General features: G+C 42.1%; 9 protein-coding genes and 1 further gene across 14 annotated transcripts in view, besides 1 other annotated feature; all 10 read left to right on the forward strand.

Annotated features, from left to right (window-relative positions):
* Positions 1-21,643, forward strand: part of PCDHA@ (protocadherin alpha cluster, complex locus) — a 226,209-nt gene that overhangs the window by 47,188 nt on the left and 157,378 nt on the right.
* The window catches only part of PCDHA1 (protocadherin alpha 1), a 226,208-nt gene that overhangs the window by 47,184 nt on the left and 157,381 nt on the right, over positions 1-21,643 (forward strand). The gene's annotated exons all lie outside the window — the stretch shown is intronic.
* PCDHA2 (protocadherin alpha 2) overlaps positions 1-21,643 on the forward strand; it is a 217,496-nt gene that overhangs the window by 38,472 nt on the left and 157,381 nt on the right. The window lies entirely within an intron of this gene.
* The window catches only part of PCDHA3 (protocadherin alpha 3), a 211,291-nt gene that overhangs the window by 32,267 nt on the left and 157,381 nt on the right, over positions 1-21,643 (forward strand). The gene's annotated exons all lie outside the window — the stretch shown is intronic.
* PCDHA4 (protocadherin alpha 4) overlaps positions 1-21,643 on the forward strand; it is a 205,280-nt gene that overhangs the window by 26,256 nt on the left and 157,381 nt on the right. The window lies entirely within an intron of this gene.
* Positions 1-21,643, forward strand: part of PCDHA5 (protocadherin alpha 5) — a 190,735-nt gene that overhangs the window by 11,711 nt on the left and 157,381 nt on the right. The gene's annotated exons all lie outside the window — the stretch shown is intronic.
* PCDHA6 (protocadherin alpha 6) overlaps positions 1-21,643 on the forward strand; it is a 184,388-nt gene that overhangs the window by 5,364 nt on the left and 157,381 nt on the right. The window lies entirely within an intron of this gene.
* Positions 946-21,643, forward strand: part of PCDHA7 (protocadherin alpha 7) — a 178,079-nt gene continuing 157,381 nt past the window's right edge. Inside the window, exon 1 of one of the 2 annotated variants that reach the window (NM_018910.3) lies at positions 946-3,415. In NM_018910.3, the coding sequence (NP_061733.1) occupies positions 1,061-3,415 (2,355 nt within the window). In that variant the 5' untranslated portion in view covers positions 946-1,060. Of the gene's footprint in view, positions 3,851-21,643 lie in introns of those variants that run through there. The other variant, NM_031852.2, reaches the window with a different exon arrangement.
* Positions 2,239-2,886: an enhancer, noted in NCBI's record as "H3K27ac-H3K4me1 hESC enhancer chr5:140215147-140215794 (GRCh37/hg19 assembly coordinates)". NCBI's record gives its function as "activates a minimal SCP1, AML or CMV promoter by ChIP-STARR-seq in naive H9 embryonic stem cells {active_cell/tissue: H9 hESC(naive)}" and the evidence as "EXISTENCE:reporter gene assay evidence [ECO:0000049][PMID:30033119]".
* PCDHA8 (protocadherin alpha 8) overlaps positions 7,864-21,643 on the forward strand; it is a 171,161-nt gene continuing 157,381 nt past the window's right edge. Inside the window, exon 1 of one of the 2 annotated variants that reach the window (NM_018911.3) lies at positions 7,864-10,392. In NM_018911.3, the coding sequence (NP_061734.1) occupies positions 7,999-10,392 (2,394 nt within the window). In that variant the 5' untranslated portion in view covers positions 7,864-7,998. Of the gene's footprint in view, positions 10,480-21,643 lie in introns of those variants that run through there. The other variant, NM_031856.2, reaches the window with a different exon arrangement.
* PCDHA9 (protocadherin alpha 9) overlaps positions 15,059-21,643 on the forward strand; it is a 163,966-nt gene continuing 157,381 nt past the window's right edge. Inside the window, exon 1 of one of the 2 annotated variants that reach the window (NM_031857.2) lies at positions 15,059-17,566. In NM_031857.2, the coding sequence (NP_114063.1) occupies positions 15,173-17,566 (2,394 nt within the window). In that variant the 5' untranslated portion in view covers positions 15,059-15,172. Of the gene's footprint in view, positions 20,837-21,643 lie in introns of those variants that run through there. The other variant, NM_014005.5, reaches the window with a different exon arrangement.

The following is a 21,643-nucleotide window of genomic DNA, read 5'->3' on the forward strand; positions in this document are numbered from 1 at the left end:
GAACATTGGAGTGAAACATTCCAGAAAACGAACACAGTAAGGTAGATCCAAAAAGGATGAAATACCTCAAGACTTGATCAAAGGGCTGCTGTATGTGAGATGGCTGAGCACTGAAATTTATCTAATAAAATAAACTTACATTTTAAAAGAAATAATACAAATCATATTTGAGATTGTAAAAATAGGCATATATTCATAACACACAAGTGTTCGAAAGGATAGAATGAGGAAACAAATATAAAATGATGAACTCCTGAAACAGTATATATAGATTCTGCTAAAGCAAAAAATTCAGAATACTTCCTCCTCAAAAAGTTCACATGATACAAATTCTTCCCCTTCAAAGATTCCCCAAACCTTCTCTTATTTTGTTTTCCCAAGAGAAGTGTCTGGATAGTTGCTAATGTTTCTTGCCTCCTAAAAAGAAAACACACACACACACACCGCTTTCTAAGTTTCTCTTTCATCAATCAGTAGATTCTTGAGATCCTGGGTCCCTAAAAGAGTACAGGATTTTTCTTAACAAGCGATACTGAATCAAGAATATGAAGTTTCCTGGGATCTAGATCAAAGGAATTTAAACTTGCAGTTGTTTAAATTCATGTTGTCACTTAGGTTTCTATCTTTATTTAAAACTGTGTGAAAAAAAAGTTTTTCTAAGGCATGAGGAAGCTACAGTTCTGGTAACACTGAGTATTCAAAAGCCATCAGTCGCCTAAGAATGCTTCTAACAATCATGAGAAATGCTATTTTAACCTTTAACAACAATGAAGAAAAAAATTCAGAGTTTGAAATAAAACTTTTCATCTGATTAATAGTTTGTAATGGTTTGTAATTCTTACTTACATGATGGCCACATGATGTCGCTCTTTACCGCAAATTCTTTCGTAATCAGCAAAAGGAAGTCATTCCTTTTCGCACTGGAAAGACGCTCCACTCTCTTTCACTCTTTGGATGCACAACAATGGCCACACATCGAGATTGAAATGAAGGGATAAAAACATTCCTATAAATTCGAAGGCAAGTTTTGCTGACTAGAAAAACAAGCCAATAATTTGAAATGGTGTGCCCGAATGGATACGACCCAGGGGGCCGACATCTACTGCTGTTTATTATAATTCTAGCAGCTTGGGAGGCAGGGAGAGGCCAGCTCCACTACTCGGTCCCCGAGGAGGCTAAACATGGCAACTTCGTGGGCCGCATCGCGCAGGACCTGGGGCTGGAGCTGGCGGAGCTGGTGCCGCGCCTGTTCCGGGCGGTGTGCAAATTCCGTGGGGATCTTCTGGAGGTAAATCTGCAGAATGGCATTTTGTTTGTGAATTCTCGGATCGACCGCGAGGAGCTGTGCGGGCGGAGCGCGGAGTGCAGCATCCACCTGGAGGTGATCGTGGAAAGGCCGCTGCAGGTTTTCCATGTGGACGTGGAGGTGAAGGACATTAACGACAACCCTCCGGTGTTCCCAGCGACACAAAGGAATCTGTTCATCGCGGAATCCAGGCCGCTTGACTCTCGGTTTCCACTAGAGGGCGCGTCCGATGCAGATATCGGGGAGAACGCCCTGCTCACTTACAGACTGAGCCCCAATGAGTATTTCTTCCTGGACGTGCCAACCAGCAACCAGCAGGTAAAACCTCTTGGACTTGTATTACGGAAACTTTTAGACAGAGAAGAAACTCCGGAGCTTCATTTATTGCTCACGGCCACCGATGGAGGCAAACCCGAGCTGACTGGCACCGTTCAATTACTCATCACGGTACTGGACAACAATGACAATGCCCCAGTGTTCGACAGAACCCTGTATACGGTGAAATTACCAGAAAACGTTTCTATCGGAACGCTGGTGATTCACCCCAATGCCTCAGATTTAGACGAAGGCTTGAATGGGGATATTATTTACTCCTTCTCCAGTGATGTTTCTCCAGATATAAAATCCAAGTTCCACATGGACCCCTTAAGTGGGGCAATCACAGTGATAGGACATATGGATTTTGAAGAAAGTAGAGCACACAAGATCCCAGTCGAGGCTGTCGATAAAGGCTTCCCACCCCTGGCTGGTCATTGTACAGTTCTTGTGGAAGTTGTGGATGTAAATGACAATGCTCCACAGTTGACTCTCACTTCCCTGTCTCTCCCTATTCCAGAGGACGCCCAACCAGGTACCGTCATCACATTGATTAGCGTGTTTGACCGAGATTTTGGAGTCAACGGACAGGTTACCTGCTCCCTGACGCCCCGCGTTCCCTTCAAGTTGGTGTCCACCTTCAAGAATTACTATTCATTGGTGCTGGACAGCGCTCTGGACCGCGAGAGTGTGTCCGCCTATGAGCTGGTGGTTACCGCGCGGGACGGGGGCTCGCCTTCTCTGTGGGCCACTGCTAGCGTGTCCGTGGAGGTGGCCGACGTGAACGACAACGCCCCGGCGTTCGCGCAGCCCGAGTATACGGTGTTCGTGAAGGAGAACAACCCGCCGGGCTGCCACATCTTCACTGTGTCGGCGGGGGACGCGGACGCGCAGAAGAACGCGCTGGTGTCCTACTCGCTGGTGGAGCTGCGGGTGGGCGAGCGCGCGCTGTCGAGCTACGTGTCAGTGCACGCGGAGAGCGGCAAGGTGTACGCGCTGCAGCCGTTGGACCACGAGGAGCTGGAGCTGTTGCAGTTCCAGGTGAGCGCGCGCGATGCGGGCGTGCCGCCTCTGGGCAGCAACGTGACGCTGCAGGTGTTCGTGCTGGACGAGAACGACAACGCGCCGGCACTGCTGGCGCCTCGGGTGGGTGGCACTGGTGGCGCAGTGAGAGAGCTTGTGCCGCGGTCTGTGGGCGCGGGCCATGTGGTGGCGAAGGTACGTGCAGTTGACGCTGACTCAGGCTACAACGCGTGGCTTTCGTATGAGTTGCAACCGGTGGCGGCCGGTGCGAGCATCCCGTTCCGCGTGGGGCTGTACACTGGTGAGATCAGCACGACACGAGCCCTAGATGAGACGGACGCACCGCGCCACCGCCTTCTGGTGCTTGTGAAGGACCACGGGGAGCCCTCGCTGACAGCCACAGCCACCGTGCTGGTGTCGCTGGTGGAAAGCGGCCAGGCACCAAAGGCGTCGTCGCGGGCATCGTTGGGCATTGCAGGCCCAGAGACCGAGCTGGTGGATGTCAACGTGTACCTGATCATCGCCATCTGCGCGGTGTCCAGTCTGTTGGTGCTTACCCTGCTGCTGTACACGGCGTTGCGGTGCTCAGCGCCGTCCTCTGAGGGCGCATGTAGTTTGGTAAAGCCCACTCTGGTGTGCTCCAGCGCGGTGGGGAGCTGGTCATTCTCCCAGCAGAGGCGGCAGAGGGTGTGCTCTGGGGAGGGCCCACCCAAGACAGACCTCATGGCCTTCAGTCCCAGCCTTCCTCAGGGTCCATCCTCTACAGACAATGTGAGTCATAAATAATCTTGTTTCCAACAATTTTAAAACAATTAGTTCAATTGGTCTCCTTAAATTTTCTTTCATAATTTCTTTTTTAGTTGATAGCTTTATGTATAATTATTATTTTTTAATGTTATGCTGTATTTGCACTAATTATTTGGAAGTACGTTTAATATACACTTTTGTTTTGGGATGCGTAATACTATAGATCAAAATCTATGGTTTATGTTGGCTACTCTCCATTTTTGGAGGAGGACTTTGCTAACTGGAGCAATGGATTCACCTTTCTTCTATAGTGTATTTACAAAATCAAATATTTACATTTCCATATTTTGATAATCAATACCTATAAATGTTATAGTAAACAAATTTAATATATATGTTACCTAATATTTTATTCTATGTATTGTCCTCATTTTATAAAATATAGCTGTGTCAAAATCATCTGTTCAATTTTGCCTTTTTATCTTTAGTCTAGAACTTGAATTTTAAGCATTTCTTTTACATCTATTTATCTTCTTTTTATCATATTTGTGTAGCACTGACTTCTTTTTAACTTACTTTGTTGAGATGTATTTGCCATGTTCATGAAGAATTAATATGAACAATTTAAAATAGTTTAAATGGCAGTTTAATAGTATTTTTTATTTTGTTCCTTGTTTGTATAAGAAATATATTCACATTCAAAATTTCAAAGAGTGAAATCTAGTACGTAGTAAAAAATCTCCTTGCCTCCTCAAACCCCAAACCATTTACTTTACCTTTCTGAATTTCTGAAGCAGTTTACTTTTTTTGTATATTCCCAAGATTATTATTGCCAAATTATATAAATATATTTACAATCACCAAATTGTAAATCGCCAATATATATATTTTATAATTTGCCCCTTCCTTCCTTCCTTCCTTTCTTTCTTTCTTTCTTCCTTTTTCTTTCATTCTTTTTCTTTTTTCTTTCTTCTTTCAAGACACGCTCTCACTCCATCACCCAGGCTGCTGAAATGCAGTGGTGGGATTATAGCCCACTGCAACCTGAAAGTCCTGGGCTCACAGGATCCTCCCATCTCAGCCTCTGGAGTAGCTGGGAATACAGTTTGCATGTCATTGTGCCTGGCTAATTTTATTTTATTTTTGTAGAGACAGGGTGGAGTCTTGTTTCCCAGGCTGGTCTTGAACTCCTGGCTTCAAGCGATCCTCCTACCTTGGCCTCCCAAAGTATTGGGATTACAGACACGAACAACCACACCCAGCCTGCCTTTCATCTTTCCTTTTTTTTAAAAAAAGAAGTGATTACAGTAGAAACCTACCTTTCTGCACTTTTTGGTTTTCCACTTTAAGTTATATATATATAGTGTGTGTGTGTGTGTGTGTGTGTGTGTGTGTGTGTGTGTGTGTGTGTGTGTGTTTGACAGAGTTTTACTCTGTCGCCCTCTCTGGAGTGCAGTGGTGCAATCTCAGCTCACTGCAAAATCCGCCTCTCTGGTACAAGCAGTTCTCATGCCTCAGTCTCCCAAGTAGCTGGGATTAAAGACGCCAACAACCAAGCCATGCTAATTTTTTTTTTTTTTTGTATTTTTAGTAGAAACAGAGTTTCACCATGTTGCCCCGGCTGGTCTCGAAATCTGGGACTCAAGTGATCTGACTGCCTCAGCCTCCCAATGTGCTGGGATTACAGGAGTGAGCCACCGCATCCGGCCTAAATTATATATTGGGTTTTGTGGCATATTATTTCATTAGCGCTTATTCCTTGTTTTTGATTATTTGCTTTCTTATTTTTAAAAGTATTTGCATCTTATTTTCTTTTATGGATATATCATGATTTATTCATCCAGTACTGTATTAGGGACATTAATGAAACAATAACCGAATTGTCTAGACTTTTAAAAATTTTTTACAAATAATTTGGTTGGTCAAAAAAATGATAGTTAACGGGGCATGGTGGCACACACCTTTAACCCCAACATTTCGGGAGGCCGAGGCAGGAGGATTGCTTCAGTCTAGTAGTTTGAGACCAGCTTGTGCATCTTTTGTAGAGACTTTGTAAAATTAGCTATGCATGGTGATGCATGTCTGTAGTTTCAGCTACTCAAGAAACTGAGGTGGGAGGATCACTTAAGCCAGGGAGGTCCAAGCTGCAGTTATCATGCCACTGAACTCCAGCCTAGGTGACAGAGCAATACCTTGCCTCAAAAATAAAATAAAATGAAATAATAAAATAAAATAAAATAAAAACCCAGAACTGACAATTTTCACTGTTCCTAATATTCTAATATACTTTAGTAAATTATTTTAGGATATGTTACTGTTTTCTTTTCAACGTGAATAAGGATAGAGGTATGCAAAGTCAAAAACCTGTCTGATAATCAATAGAATTATTTACCATTAAGCCATAATATGTCATTCACATAAGCAGACCAAGTTTGCTGCTCTTGTTGAAAGATATTCAGTTTTGTGGAAAAATCTATAAATATCTTTGACCTTCAAAGATGTAACTGTAATCTGTTTTTATTGCTTTGCTTTTATGCTTACATGCATGTATATTTAAAACCTTCCTAGCATATTATTAAAGTTTTAAATATCCTATTTATATTGGGAAATACCTGAAGTTGATAGGGGATCCTCCTTAGCCACCTAAGCTGTATTCATCAATTATTATGATGATGATGATGATTATTATTTTTGAGACAGGGTCTCACTCTGTAGCCCAGACTGCAGTGCAGTGGCACAATCTGGGCTTACTGCAATCTCTGCCTCCTGGGCTCAAGTGATCTTCCTACCTCAGCCTCTCAAGTTGCTGGGACTATAGGCACACACCACCATGCCCAACTAATTTTTGTATTTTTTGTAGAGATGGGGTCTTACCATGTTGCCCAGGCTGGTCTCAAACTCCTGAGATATCGAGAAATACTATTTTCTTTACAAATTGTTTGCTACTATTTAGAGTCAACTACAGAGATTTTTTTGGGTAAATAATGTGATGACAAATTTAAATCATTTCACAGAAAATACCCTTATTTGCCTTTCCTATTTAACCTACGTTTTTGGTAAGAATTTTGTAGAAATTTGGAGGAGCTCTTAATTGCCTACTATGAAGGCATTCATGATGAATCCATGGAGAATTTACTTTTGAGGTGGACTTTGAAAGATGAATAGAATTTTGACAGAAAAAGATGAAGTAATAGAAGAAAAACCTTGAACAAAGAGTGTGCCAAGAAGGAGACAACATATTTTCTGTAAAATATGACTCCTATTGGAAAGTGGTTAGCCTTAGCACTGAGAAGATTGGCTCATGGTCACGTAGCGTATCTCCCAGATGGAAGTCTAATGTCTTGACAATTAGTCAATAGAAAGATAAACTTGTTGAAGATTTTAGTGAAATCGAGTGAAAGCTGTACTAATAAGGACAGAAATTATCACACGTGAAAGGAGAGATGGGATGTATACAAATTTTAAATATGGTAGGCAAAGGAAAAGAAGTCATAAAAATACATATGAGTAAATGTGGAGAATCACTATGCTATAAAAATTGTGATTTTTTAATGATTTGGGTTTTGGGTGATTATTGATTAGATATTCTTTTAACTTTGGTCGACTCATTTTCTAGGCAATGTTAGGGTATACAGGTAAAAATGTCAGGTAGAAAATGAAAATAGGGGGTTGCAGATATGGAGTTAAGAATACTTCAAATAATAGGCTAGTTTAAAGCCGTGGAAATAGAAACGTTAAATAAAAAGTTGGGGAAAAAAGTTTAAAGGCATAATTCTGGTAAATACTCACTTTTTGGAGCAGAAGAAAGATGAAGAACTAACAAGCCAATGATGGCAATACTGCTAGAGTTTGGCATGTCAGAGAAATCATAAAGGAAAATGTTTTAAGTGAGAGGCTGAATTTAACAAGCTATAGAGATATAGAGAAATAGTGTAAAGAATATGCACATACATTTTTATTACTTTAGTAAATAAAACGGTTCAGGCAATTTGACATTTATTGAATAAAGAAAAGCAAAAATTTAACAATAAGAACACAAGAAGATAAAATGTAGAAAAGTTAGAATTATATGCTCACCTCAGAGTAATATATACCAGTGTTTCTGGTGACCAAATAAATATTAATGCATTTCTTCCACACGAAACTATGGAGGACAGTTTACATTTCTGATATCCATGACATACAGGTCATACTTAAATTTATTATTAATTGATACGATATTTGAAATATTGGGAAGAAATTCCTTTCCTTATGAAGAAGAAATCCCTAGCTGAAACTAATGTAAGGAGCCAGACAGTATGAATGCCTCTGCAATTGATAAAGTTAAGGATTTACTATTAAATTATGATAAAGAAATAGAAAGTGCATAGAAGAACCCAGATATTGCGGAAGTAATTCATGTAATCATTACCTTTTGAAGCCACATGATGTCGCTGTCTACCAAGAAGTTCTGGTTGGTCAATGTTCAAAGTCTTTTCTCTGACAGCATCTGTCTCTAAAGGCCGAACAACGGGAGATGCAGCGGAATTGGATTAAAAGACTCTGAAAGTACAGTCGTTCATCTTTATATTAAGATAATATTTTCTGATAGGAAACGACTATTTAACATGGATTATCACTGGCGAGGAGAGCTGGGATCCTGGCGACTACTACTCTTGCTTCTGCTCCTCGCAGCCTGGAAGGTGGGGAGCGGCCAGCTCCACTACTCCGTCCCCGAGGAGGCCAAACACGGCACCTTCGTGGGCCGGATCGCGCAGGACCTGGGGCTGGAGCTGGCGGAGCTGGTGCCGCGCCTGTTCCGGGTGGCGTCCAAAAGACACCGGGACCTTCTGGAGGTAAGTCTGCAGAATGGCATTTTGTTTGTGAATTCTCGGATCGACCGCGAGGAGCTGTGCGGGCGGAGCGCGGAGTGCAGCATCCACCTGGAGGTGATCGTGGACAGGCCGCTGCAGGTTTTCCATGTGGACGTGGAGGTGAAGGATGTTAATGACAACCCGCCAGTGTTCCGGGTAAAAGACCAAAAGCTGTTTGTTTCAGAATCCAGAATGCCAGACTCTCGGTTTCCGCTAGAGGGCGCGTCCGATGCAGATGTTGGAGCTAACTCCGTGTTAACCTACAGGCTTAGCTCTCATGATTACTTCATGCTAGATGTGAATTCAAAGAACGATGAGAATAAACTGGTTGAGCTCGTATTAAGAAAATCCTTGGACAGAGAGGACGCTCCTGCGCACCACTTATTCCTGACAGCCACAGATGGGGGCAAACCTGAGCTCACAGGCACTGTTCAGCTGCTGGTCACAGTGCTGGATGTGAATGATAATGCTCCCACTTTCGAACAGTCTGAATACGAAGTAAGAATATTCGAAAACGCAGACAACGGAACAACAGTTATCAAACTGAATGCTTCTGATCCGGATGAAGGAGCCAATGGGGCAATTTCATATTCTTTTAATAGCCTTGTTGAAACTATGGTTATTGACCACTTTAGCATAGATCGAAATACGGGAGAAATAGTGATTCGGGGTAATTTGGATTTTGAACAAGAAAACTTATACAAAATCCTCATTGACGCCACGGACAAAGGCCATCCTCCCATGGCGGGTCATTGCACCGTTTTAGTGAGAATTTTGGATAAAAATGATAACGTCCCTGAGATAGCACTGACTTCCTTATCCTTGCCTGTACGTGAAGACGCTCAATTTGGTACTGTCATCGCCCTAATTAGCGTGAACGACCTCGATTCAGGTGCCAACGGGCAGGTGACCTGCTCCCTGATGCCCCATGTCCCCTTCAAGCTGGTGTCCACCTTCAAGAATTACTACTCGTTGGTGCTGGACAGCGCCCTGGACCGCGAGAGAGTGTCGGCCTATGAGTTGGTGGTAACCGCGCGGGACGGGGGCTCGCCTTCGCTGTGGGCCACCGCCAGCTTGTCTGTGGAGGTGGCCGACGTGAACGACAATGCTCCGGCGTTCGCGCAGCCCGAGTACACGGTGTTCGTGAAGGAGAACAACCCGCCGGGCTGCCACATCTTCACGGTGTCTGCGCGAGACGCGGACGCGCAGGAGAACGCGCTGGTGTCCTACTCGCTTGTGGAGCGGCGGGTGGGCGAGCGCTCGCTGTCGAGCTACATTTCGGTGCACACGGAGAGCGGCAAGGTGTACGCGCTGCAGCCGCTGGACCACGAGGAGCTAGAGCTGCTGCAGTTCCAGGTGAGCGCGCGCGACGCGGGCGTGCCGCCTCTGGGCAGCAACGTGACGCTGCAGGTGTTCGTGCTGGACGAGAATGACAACGCGCCGGCACTGCTGGAGCCTCGGGTGGGTGGCACTGGTGGCGCAGCGAGCAAGCTGGTGCCGCGGTCTGTGGGCGCGGGCCACGTGGTAGCGAAGGTGCGCGCAGTGGACGCCGACTCGGGCTACAACGCGTGGCTTTCGTATGAGCTGCAGCCAGCTGCAAGCAGCCCTCGCATCCCGTTCCGCGTGGGGCTGTACACGGGCGAGATCAGCACCACTCGTGTCCTGGACGAAGCGGACTCTCCGCGCCACCGTCTGCTGGTCCTGGTGAAGGATCATGGTGAACCTGCGCTGACCGCCACGGCCACGGTTCTGGTGTCGCTGGTGGAGAGCGGCCAGGCTCCAAAAGCGTCATCGAGGCAGTCGGCTGGCGTTTTGGGTCCGGAAGCGGCGCTGGTGGATGTCAACGTGTACCTGATCATCGCCATCTGCGCGGTATCCAGCCTGCTGGTGCTCACGCTGCTGCTGTACACTGCGCTGCGGTGCTCAGCACTGCCCACTGAGGGCGGGTGCCGGGCGGGCAAGCCCACTCTGGTGTGCTCCAGTGCGGTGGGGAGCTGGTCATACTCGCAACAACAGCCGCAGAGGGTGTGCTCTGGTGAGGGGCCACCGAAGACGGACCTCATGGCCTTCAGCCCCTGCCTTCCTCCTGATCTGGGATCAGTTGATGTAGGCGAAGAGCAAGATTTAAATGTTGATCATGGCCTCAAAGTAAGTCCATTTAAATTTAGAACTCATAAATTCTATTTGTGGAAATTGTAGTTACTTTAAAAGTGTTTCAGATTTAGTTTTTCACCGTATTTTATAGTGAAAATTTAAACATTGTTTAGTTTTTAGAAACCTTTTATAATTAATTGAATTTTCTCAGTGGCATAATACAGTATTAATCATTCTCCACAAGTTGGGTCTATCTTGAAACTCAAGTTATGGTTGGATGATATCCATTTTTTACTGAATATTTATTTTGGCCTGCCTTACAGCCGTCTTCTCTGAACAATACTCTAAGGACGTTCAGGGCATTTTGATCTTTGGTGAAAGTATTCCCCCAAAGCGTTTATTCTTTTGTCCTTAGGCACTGAACTCTTAATCTTACTCCATATGCTGTACTTTGAAATGCATGTTTTAAATATGTTGTCTTTATATTTACTTTTATTCACTTTAAGATCTCGGTTTATTCATCTTATCTGACTTTTTAGTGTCTGGTAGTCACAAATATCTTTGGTGTTTCACTATTGCCGTTTTAAGCAGTGTAGTGATAAAATACAGAATGATAGTGTTTTTCAAAATTTGATAGTTTTCATATTCTTCCTAATTTTATTATAAACTAGTTAAAAAGTAAAATCAAGAGGGAAGAGATTTGTAATCCTTCTTTTAATTCATTATTTAGACCATTTTACCATTTGGAGACATGTTTTTTATTCTACATGATTTTTACAGTTGTATTGTCGCCAACTTAACATTTTTTGAGCCTCTATGTTTAGGAAATGATTACTTTATTCTTGCAAGTATCTTCTAAACTCTAATCATTCAACCCTTTGTTCATGAGTTGGAATATTTTCAATAATATTCCACATTAAAGTGATATTTAATATATGACTTAGAAAAATGTTTTCATCAGAAAAACTATACATGATAATTTCATTCTTGCAAACCAAACATATAATTTATAAATCCTTATTATACAGAATATTTGGGATTATCATGGCCCATTAGTTCGTGTAAAAATATTTAGTATTATGGGATAAATCTTTGAAAAATCCAAGATACTTTATTTTGGTATCTTTCAACATTTTCTTTCTTTTATTTCTTCTTGTCTTTTTACACGTTTGCTTCTTGTGACTGTTGGACCTGCCTGGATATTAAATACCCATTAGACTTCGTGCATATTGCTTTGGAGAGAATGGTAGAAATTGATGGAAGGGAATGAACGATTTCTGGGACTCTGAATTCTTACAGTTTGTTATTAGTATTGTTTTAAATCTTTTAATCACTTATGAACAAATAATGTAATCATTTATGGGCATATTTTAGCCCCCTTGTCCAACTGAAGGTAACCTCAAAGCAGCATTGTTTTGTAGTTTATTTTACAGTTCTCTTAATGCCTGTCCATGTTTAGCATTTTATTTGACTATTTGAACACATTGTGTAAAAGCGAATTGTTTTCATTTTAGTCCTTTAAAAAATATGATTGTTTTCATTTAAGTCCTTTTAAAAAATATGATTATCTTTATTATCCTGTTTGAATAATATGTGTTTTCCTTTGTGAAAGTAATATTTCCTATCCTGTCTATGTCTACCTGGTTCTCAGGTATTACTTTAATTACTGAATTCTCCTAAACATTTAATTGACTTTTACAAAATATCATAAATAGGAGGATTCTTTCCACCACCTAGCATTGTATTTGGCAATTTATCATTTAAGTCATTTTAGTTCTGTTTTTCTTCAACTCTCTGATATTTGAATTTGGGGTTGTGCTTTCACAGTGAGAAAGTCTAAACCTATTTCTTGTACATTAATACTTTTCACTATTCTAATTATGGTGATGCTTTTAGCTATTAAGAATTTCTGGGATTGAAATGTGTCAGAAGTTAGTTATTAAGTATTGTGGATTCTGAAGCTCTCTAAATCAAGTCCTCCCTTTACCAATTTTTGTATGTGTAGCCATTGGTAAAGGATTTGTTATTCAGTTCCTTGGCATTATATGTATGCATGATAAATGTGAATTCTACTTTATAGATTTATTTGTATCAAGTAAGTTAATAGTTATAAATTATTAATAATAAACTCTGGCAAGTGATAGGTACATAATAAAATTTAGTTATTACCATTCTTAAGAGAAAAGAAGTTAGTGATTGCAGAAAGGCAACCTAAAATGTCAGAAAGTCGTTATGGCCTTCCATATTAATCTTATTTTTGTGTAAAACTATCTTCTGTAAAGTCATTTTTTAGATTAACCTAGGATGTTTCAATATTTTGAATGTTGTGTGGTGGAATGAAAAAAATCTAAAAGTTATTACGAGTTTAGGAAAGTCAAGTTAACACCACCTATGTGGGAAAACAGTTTTTTGGAAAGGTTAAAGTCCTTCCAAGGAATGTGTAGACTATCTTACTTTGATAGTTGTATGTTTCCCATATTTAAAAGTTGCCTGAGATCCTGCAGAGGCCTGAGTAGGCGTTTGAGTTCTTTGTATGTATGAGATCTTTCCATTAATAGTATTTTTCTTAAAAAGAAGTATACAATAATGTTTTGATGATGATTTAAAGTCAATTTATGTTGTAGTTCTATGAATTAAGTAAACCATTTATGTAGAGTGTTGTAAATAGCCTTTTAAAGTGCTTTCTCTTTTTTCTTTTCTTTTCTTTCTTTCTTTTTTTTTTTTTTTTTTTGAGACGGAGTCTCGCTCTATCTCCCAGGCTGGAATGCAGTGGCGCAATCTCGGCTCACTGCAACCTCTGCCTCCCGGGTTCAAATGATTCTCCTTCCTCAGCCTCCCAAGTAGCTGGGATTACAGGTGCATGCCACCATGCCCTGCTAATTTTTTGTATTTTTAGTAGAGTCGGGGTTTCACCATGTTAGCCAGGATGGTCTCGATCTCCTGACCTCCTGATCCGCCCACTTCGGCCTCCTAAAGTGCTGGGATTACAGGCATGAGCCACCGCGCCCAGCCTAAAATGCTTTCTTAGCAAGTAGAGAAGATTGTAATAACCAGTCTTCATTAAACATTAAATAGGACCCTTACAGATCTCTAACAGCATATCATCATGTCAGGAATTATTACTGAGCCCCAGCCCCTGGCTTTAAAATTTGAGGTCAAATAAAGAATATGAGTCACACAATGCAAGGCAAGATAATGTAACAGGTACAAGAGGTAAATCAGAATGACGTTGAAGTTGAAAGACAATCATTTCCTATTTGAATTTTTGAAGAAATACTTGAAGGGGCATGGTGTGTTTCAGTGGTTTTAAAATAAGTAAGTTCCCCCCGGGAGAATATTGAGAATGATAGACATTTCTTGGAAAGAGAAAACATAAGGAAAGTTGAAGACACAGAAAGCATCAATATGACAAGTAGAAAAGTCCACTTTGGTTAAAACACACAGTCTGCAGAGAATGAAAGCAGGAAAACCAATGTAAGAAGATCTCTTGATTTCTGAGTAATAAACTAAAGGGCCATGAGTGATTAAGGAATTTGGCCACTCTTTAGAATTAATTGGGAGCTATTTAACTACCTTGAGCAAAATAAATCACGACTTTTGAAAGAAGGTTGAACGGGAAGACAAACTCAGAAGCTCCTGCAGTAATCAAGGACAGAAGCAATTGTTAAATGCACCTCTTAGGCTGTTATCAGTAGAAATACGAAATAAAAGATAAATATGCAAAAACATTAATGGCACAATAAACACTCACGGTTTTGCCTTTAGACTTGAGATACACTAAAATCTAGATTTAATTAATCGACTTGGACGTTGGAATAAGATAGTAAAACTCACAACAAAACTTTGTAGAACTTAGTCAGGAAAAGAATCTCAAGCATAGCTTTAAAAACAGAAATTGCCCCGAGTACTAAGGATGAGCAATAATGAAATTAAAACATATTGTAATAACATTACACAAACTATATTGGAGACTACAAAGAAGAGATTATTCATAGATTATAAAGCTTGGAAAGAATCAAAACAACACATTTCTGGAAACAGATTGTATAAATGCTACAAAAGAGAAAAATATATTTTCTCCCCACGCAACACAAGACCTTAAAGTCAATTCTCGCTTTTCTTGCAATATTTTATACCTTTTCAATTCATAGAATTACTCAAGAAAACTACCTCAGTTGGTTGCTACTTTTTGTTGATTCCTTTTACCAGACATGACTAAGTTTCTTTTTCATCAGTAGATTTCTGGGCTCCTATATTCACTAGAGATTGCAACTCCTGGATTTCTCTTACACTAGAATCCTATTTCGAGCCATATGGGAGATTCTGAATTCCAGAACAAAAGAATTTTGTAATTTAAAATTCGTGATTGCTCAATGGAATCATTTTAATTGTTACTTCATTTCTGTCGTTATTTAAAACTTAAGTGGAGAGTTTTCTCAGGGATAAGAAAACCACAATCAAGGTCATACAAAACTTTTAGAGGCAGTCAGTCTGCTAAGAAGGCTCCAGCAAGAGAAACGGGATCTTCTGTTTCAACAATCATTACTTAAGAAAAAATTAAGAAAATGAAATAAGTTTTGCAGAATAACTGTGAAATTTTTATTCATGAAATATGTACTTACACTTTGGGCCACGTGATGTCACTCTTTGCCGCGATGTTCTCTCTGAATCCAGACAAATACAGCCCTTTTCCCATGGGAAAGAGGCTCAATTCTTTTTCACTCTCTCTGTGCTGAACGATGGCGAACACAGCAGAATGGGACTGACGAAATCAGATGATTTCTTCTAATTTGGAGGCAATTTTCACTAATTAGAAGAAGACTGAGTATTTGAAATGTTATACTCAAGTCGAGGAGATCCAGAGGGTCAGCCTCTACTGCTCTCGCTTCTGATCCTCGCAATGTGGGTGGTGGGGAGCGGCCAGCTCCACTACTCCGTCCCGGAGGAAGCCGAACACGGCACCTTCGTGGGCCGCATCGCGCAGGACCTGGGGCTGGAGCTGGCGGAGCTGGTGCCGCGCCTGTTCCAGTTGGATTCCAAAGGCCGCGGGGACCTTCTGGAGGTAAATCTGCAGAATGGCATTTTGTTTGTGAATTCTCGGATCGACCGCGAGGAGCTGTGCGGGCGGAGCGCGGAGTGCAGCATCCACCTGGAGGTGATCGTAGACAGGCCGCTGCAGGTTTTCCATGTGGACGTGGAGGTGAAGGACATTAACGACAACCCTCCAGTGTTCCCAGCGACACAAAAGAATCTGTTCATCGCGGAATCCAGGCCGCTTGACTCTCGGTTTCCACTAGAGGGCGCGTCCGATGCAGATATCGGGGAGAACGCCCTGCTCACTTACAGACTGAGCCCCAATGAGTATTTCTTCCTGGACGTGCCAACCAGCAACCAGCAGGTAAAACCTCTTGGACTTGTATTACGGAAACTTTTAGACAGAGAAGAAACTCCGGAGCTTCATTTATTGCTCACGGCCACCGATGGAGGCAAACCCGAGCTGACTGGCACCGTTCAATTACTCATCACGGTACTGGACAACAATGACAATGCCCCAGTGTTCGACAGAACCCTGTATACGGTGAAATTACCAGAAAACGTTTCTATCGGAACGCTGGTGATTCACCCCAATGCCTCAGATTTAGACGAAGGCTTGAATGGGGATATTATTTACTCCTTCTCCAGTGATGTTTCTCCAGATATAAAATCCAAGTTCCACATGGACCCCTTAAGTGGGGCAATCACAGTGATAGGACATATGGATTTTGAAGAAAGTAGAGCACACAAGATCCCAGTCGAGGCTGTCGATAAAGGCTTCCCACCCCTGGCTGGTCATTGTACACTTCTTGTGGAAGTTGTGGATGTAAATGACAATGCTCCACAGTTGACTATCAAAACGCTCTCGGTTCCTGTAAAAGAGGACGCACAACTGGGGACAGTTATTGCCCTGATTAGTGTGATCGACCTAGACGCAGATGCCAACGGGCAGGTTACCTGCTCCCTGACGCCCCACGTCCCCTTCAAGCTGGTGTCCACCTACAAGAATTACTACTCGTTGGTGCTGGACAGAGCTCTGGACCGCGAGAGTGTGTCCGCCTACGAGCTGGTGGTTACCGCGCGGGACGGGGGCTCGCCTTCACTGTGGGCCACGGCCAGGGTGTCTGTGGAGGTGGCCGACGTGAACGACAACGCACCAGCGTTCGCGCAGTCCGAGTACACGGTGTTCGTGAAGGAGAACAACCCGCCGGGCTGCCACATCTTCACGGTGTCTGCGCGGGACGCTGACGCGCAGGAGAACGCCCTGGTGTCCTACTCGCTGGTGGAGCGGCGGTTGGGCGAGCGCTCGCTGTCGAGCTACGTGTCAGTGCACGCGGAGAGCGGCAAGGTGTACGCGCTGCAGCCGTTGGACCACGAGGAGCTGGAGCTGCTACAGTTCCAGGTGAGCGCGCGCGACGCGGGCGTGCCGCCTCTGGGCAGCAACGTGACGCTGCAGGTGTTCGTGCTGGACGAGAACGACAATGCGCCGGCGCTGCTGACACCTCGGATGAGGGGCACTGACGGCGCAGTGAGCGAGATGGTGCTGCGGTCGGTGGGCGCCGGCGTAGTGGTGGGGAAGGTGCGCGCAGTGGACGCCGACTCGGGCTACAACGCGTGGCTTTCATACGAGCTGCAGCCAGAAACGGCCAGCGCGAGCATCCCGTTCCGCGTGGGGCTGTACACGGGCGAGATCAGCACAACGCGTGCCCTGGACGAAACGGACGCACCGCGCCAGCGCCTACTGGTGCTGGTGAAAGACCACGGGGAGCCAGCGCTGACGGCCACGGCCACTGTGCTGGTGTCGCTGGTGGAGAGCGGCCAGGCGCCAAAGTCATCGTCGCGGGCGTCAGTGGGTGCCACGGGCCCCGAGGTGACGCTGGTGGATGTCAACGTGTACCTGATCATCGCCATCTGCGCGGTGTCTAGCCTGTTGGTTCTCACGCTGCTGCTGTACACTGTGCTGCGGTGCTCGGCGATGCCCACCGAGGGCGAGTGCGCGCCTGGCAAGCCGACGCTGGTGTGTTCTAGCGCGGTGGGGAGTTGGTCGTACTCGCAGCAGAGGAGGCAGAGGGTGTGCTCTGGCGAGGGTAAGCAGAAGACCGACCTCATGGCCTTCAGCCCGGGCCTTTCTCCTTGTGCTGGATCTACAGAGCGAACGGGAGAACCCTCTGCTTCCTCAGATTCAACTGGGAAGGTGGGTTTTTCTAGCATTTTATTTATTTATATAATTTTTTTTCTTGAAAGATATTATCGATTACTCCCAGGGGCCGTTCAAATAGTTTTATTCATTTTTCTAGAAATCCAGCAGATTTTTTTTCTGATAAAGTAAACCCCTTAACATTGGAGCCGACTTTGTCTTGACTTCTAGTGAGAATTATAAACTGTATATTAAATAGATATTTTTTGGGTGCTGAATCAATTTTATTTAAATTTGTGATTAAAGTGACATTGAATTTCTGATGCTATGCTGCCATAACACTTGAAAACCAATTTAGTTGTTAGTCATTCATTAAACATTAACATCACTATCATTTATTTATTGCTAAATGATGCATAGTATTTTAGTCTACTTGTATTGTTTATAAGAAACCCAAGCAAAAATATATAGCAATTGTTACCTTGTTAAGTTTGTAGTTCTCTACATTTCTCTGGATGGAGACTGTGAACATCTGATTGTTCAGCAACCTTCAGTATCTATTATTTTAATAAGAAAGAAACTTCCCCTAAACTTTAGAAAACAGTTGCTCCACTTTAGGAATCAAATTATGTCAATAAATGTTATAAACACAGCCTTCATTTCAACTTATATAAAATATGTTTTAAAATGCCTGACAATGTAGATAATTCAAGAAATGTTGACTGAAATTTTGTCTACACTTAGAACATTTTTTGAAATTCAGTTTACAGAAATTGGAGAAAATGCTTTTTAAACAAGTGTTTCCTTTCTTCAAGAAGACATTCTCCTTTTAATTGAAATTTTCTCCATTCAGTGATAAAATGATCAGCCATGTGAAGATTCGAAACTTCGAGTTCTTTTGAAATTCAGAGTCTGTAACTTAAAACATTACCCTTATGAATTTAGATGAGAATTCACTTGTTCTGTCAGTAATCCATAAGACAGAAATCTGTTTTTTTAAAAATATCTTTTTCTCCTCTCAGCTCATACATAACACAAGGCAGAAATCTGGATATGAGATTTGCCTCTTTAATGTCACTACATGTTATGTTTCCTGAATTGTAGTATGTGACTTTCAAAATGGTGGTTTTCCACACTCTACCTTTAGTGCAAGCTATTTGTTTGTTTTCTAATTTATAGTTTTAAAAACTTCGCTTATTGAGTTTTTGTTATGTGGTTTATATTTTTCTTTCTCTTTCAGCTATTTTATTTAATATTGTGTCAGATATTTTACAAGGTATGACCTAATTAAAAACTCAGTAGAGAAAGATCAGAATGGCCTTGAGAATAGAGCCACAAAAATAACTATGAAAATGCCAGTAACGTTTATTTAAAACAAAATATTTTAATTTTTAAATTTTCCCTTAAAACACACTTTTGGAATATGCTACAATATTACATGTTTTTTGTCTTTTTATTTTTCTGAGACGGAGTCGTTTTCTGCCACCCAGGCTGGAGTACAGTGGCATGATCTTGGCTCACTGCAACGTCTGCCTCCTGGGTTCAAGCAATTCTCCTGCCTCAGCCTCCTGAGTAGCTGGGATTATAGGCACATGCCACCGCGCCCAGCTAATTTTTGTATTTTTAGTAGAGATGGGGTTTCATCATGTTGGCCAGGTTGGTCTCGAACTCCTGACCTTGTGATGCTCCCACCTCGGCCTCCCAAAGTGCTGGGATTAAAGCTGTGAGCCACTGTGCCAAGGCTTTTTTATTTTTTTTTTTTGTCATTTTCTTTCAAAACTTGAGTGGTCTCTGAGCTCCTGTCATTAAACCTATCTATATCTGTCTATCAGCACAACTCACCTTGAATATAGTCTTATACTTTCAAGTATCTTTGTCTTTGCACGTTTTTCAAGTTTCATGTGCCATTTAAACTTGGACCCAGGTATCTGATTATTTGATGTGAATAGAGGGATGCTACAGATGTCATTTGTCTCCCGCCCTAAGTCCTCCAGTCTCCTTAGAGCTAGTACTTACTAAGCATTTACTATGTCATCAATAATCATAAAACGTATTTTTTTTTTTGAGTCAGAGTCTCGCTCTGTTGCCCAGGCTGGAGTGCAGTGGTGCCATCTTGGCTCACTCCAAGCTCCCCCTCCCGTGTTCACGCCATTCTCCTGCCTCAGCCTCCCGAGTAGCTGGGACTACAGGCGCCTGCCACCATGCCCGCCTAATTTTTTTGTATTTTTAGTAGAGATGGGGTTTCACCGTGTTAGTCAGGATGGTCTCGATCTCCTGACCTCATGATCCTCCCGCCTCAGCCTCCCAAAATGCTGGGATTACAGGCGTGAGCCACCGCGCCTGGCCTAAAATGTGTTCTTTATTATTGACGGCTGTATTGATGGGATTGGTAATTTAGTCCTTCATATTAATCTCTATTCTCTCTCAGAGTACAAGCTCTCATCATATGCAAATTCTCAGAAGGGCTGTGAACACCTTAGTAATAAATTTATCTTTTGAGGTCATTAGCAAACATGAACTCACAGGGATCCAGAGATGGTAAAATTCAAAACAGCCTGTCAAGTTCAAAACAGAGAGGTGAAAGCAGAAGAGACACTTTCCTATTTTGCCTAATAGGTCTCCTTATATGCATCTGTAGTTAACATTCCTCAATTCAAGTTAGAATCATGAAACAATAATGAAGCTCCTCCTATGTCTCTTTTCAAGTTGTAATTACTATATAGGAAAAACTAAGTTGTCACCCAATATCTTAGACACTTTGAGAGCAAAGGGGGTGCTGTAAATAAGTATACAAGATCACAGACCTAAATTGAGCCTGTTCCAGACAAATTGGGGCCTATGGTCAACCTATCCTTAGACCTGCTAACGCATTAGCATTAGCAGCACCTAAGTCCTCATTGAATGTTCTGGTTCAAGGCTCCACCTCAGAAATTCTGAAATGGGTAGTAAGAGCAAATTTTCATTTTAAAGCACACCTGAGATGATTCTCATACAACCGAAATTTTAGATCCATAGCCCTATTTGATACTTGACAGTGCAAGTTTCTGTAATTTAAAAAGATGTGGTGGCCTGACACCTGCAATCCCAACATTTTGGGAGGCCAAGGTGGGAGGGTCCCTTCCTTGAGCCCAGCAGTTTGAGACCAATGTAGTGAGACTCATCTCTGCCAAAAAAAAAAAATTAGCCGGGCATGGTGGCACACATCTCTAGTCCCAATTACTCAGGAGGCTGAGGCGAGAGAATCGCTTGAGCCTGGGACATTGAGGCTGCAGTGAACTGTGATGGCACAACTGCATTTCAGCCCGGGTGACAGCAAGATTCTGTCTCAAAAAAAAAAAAAAAAAGAGTAGTTTAACTACTCCCTACTTTTTATTCAATATTGGACATCTACATTGGGATATTTATGTTATCACTTGGTATAAAATGTACATTAGTAGAAATTGAGTTTAGTTTTTATTATTTTGTGCGTGGAGATGATTGATCAATGGCAAACTTATTTTACGCTCCAGATAGCTAAAACAAACGTTGATATTTTGATACATAACTCATTACATTTTAATTCAGGGTTTATAAAAAAGTAATCTCTAAAATCAGAATTTGAATGAATTTTGATGCAAGAGGCATTCCAGAGGAGTAGAGAAGTATAGAAACAGAATTTAGTAGGACACATAAACTGATGGATTAAGTGACACCCATTTCTGTCAGTTTTCTTATTCATAAATATTGTTGCTCTGTCATTCAGATTTTAATAAAAAAAGTTTAAAGTAATTGACACATTTAAAAATATTCTTTAGAAAAGTCAAAACATCATTAAATAAAATAAATTAACCCTTGCATAAGACCAATATGTCTGTTGTTAAGTTTTCCTTTCTTGGAAAGACAGAAAACTCAAGTTTTTTTCAGCAGCACAGATATATTACATTTTCATTCCTGAATATTTGATTTCAAGAACTTTGAGAGAGAAAAAAATATTTTTACTGCAAGTGGTGATGAAAAACTTCACTGACATTGATAAAATTACTAGATATATTTCAGAACTGTGTCTTTTGGGCATTTGAAAAGCGTAAATATAACAGGGTTGAAAGCATTTGCCTCTGAAAGCAGAAATAATAAATTTCTTAATTACTTTATTCA

Source organism: Homo sapiens, chromosome 5, assembly GCF_000001405.40.
Source record: "Homo sapiens chromosome 5, GRCh38.p14 Primary Assembly".
Taxonomy (NCBI): domain Eukaryota; kingdom Metazoa; phylum Chordata; class Mammalia; order Primates; family Hominidae; genus Homo; species Homo sapiens.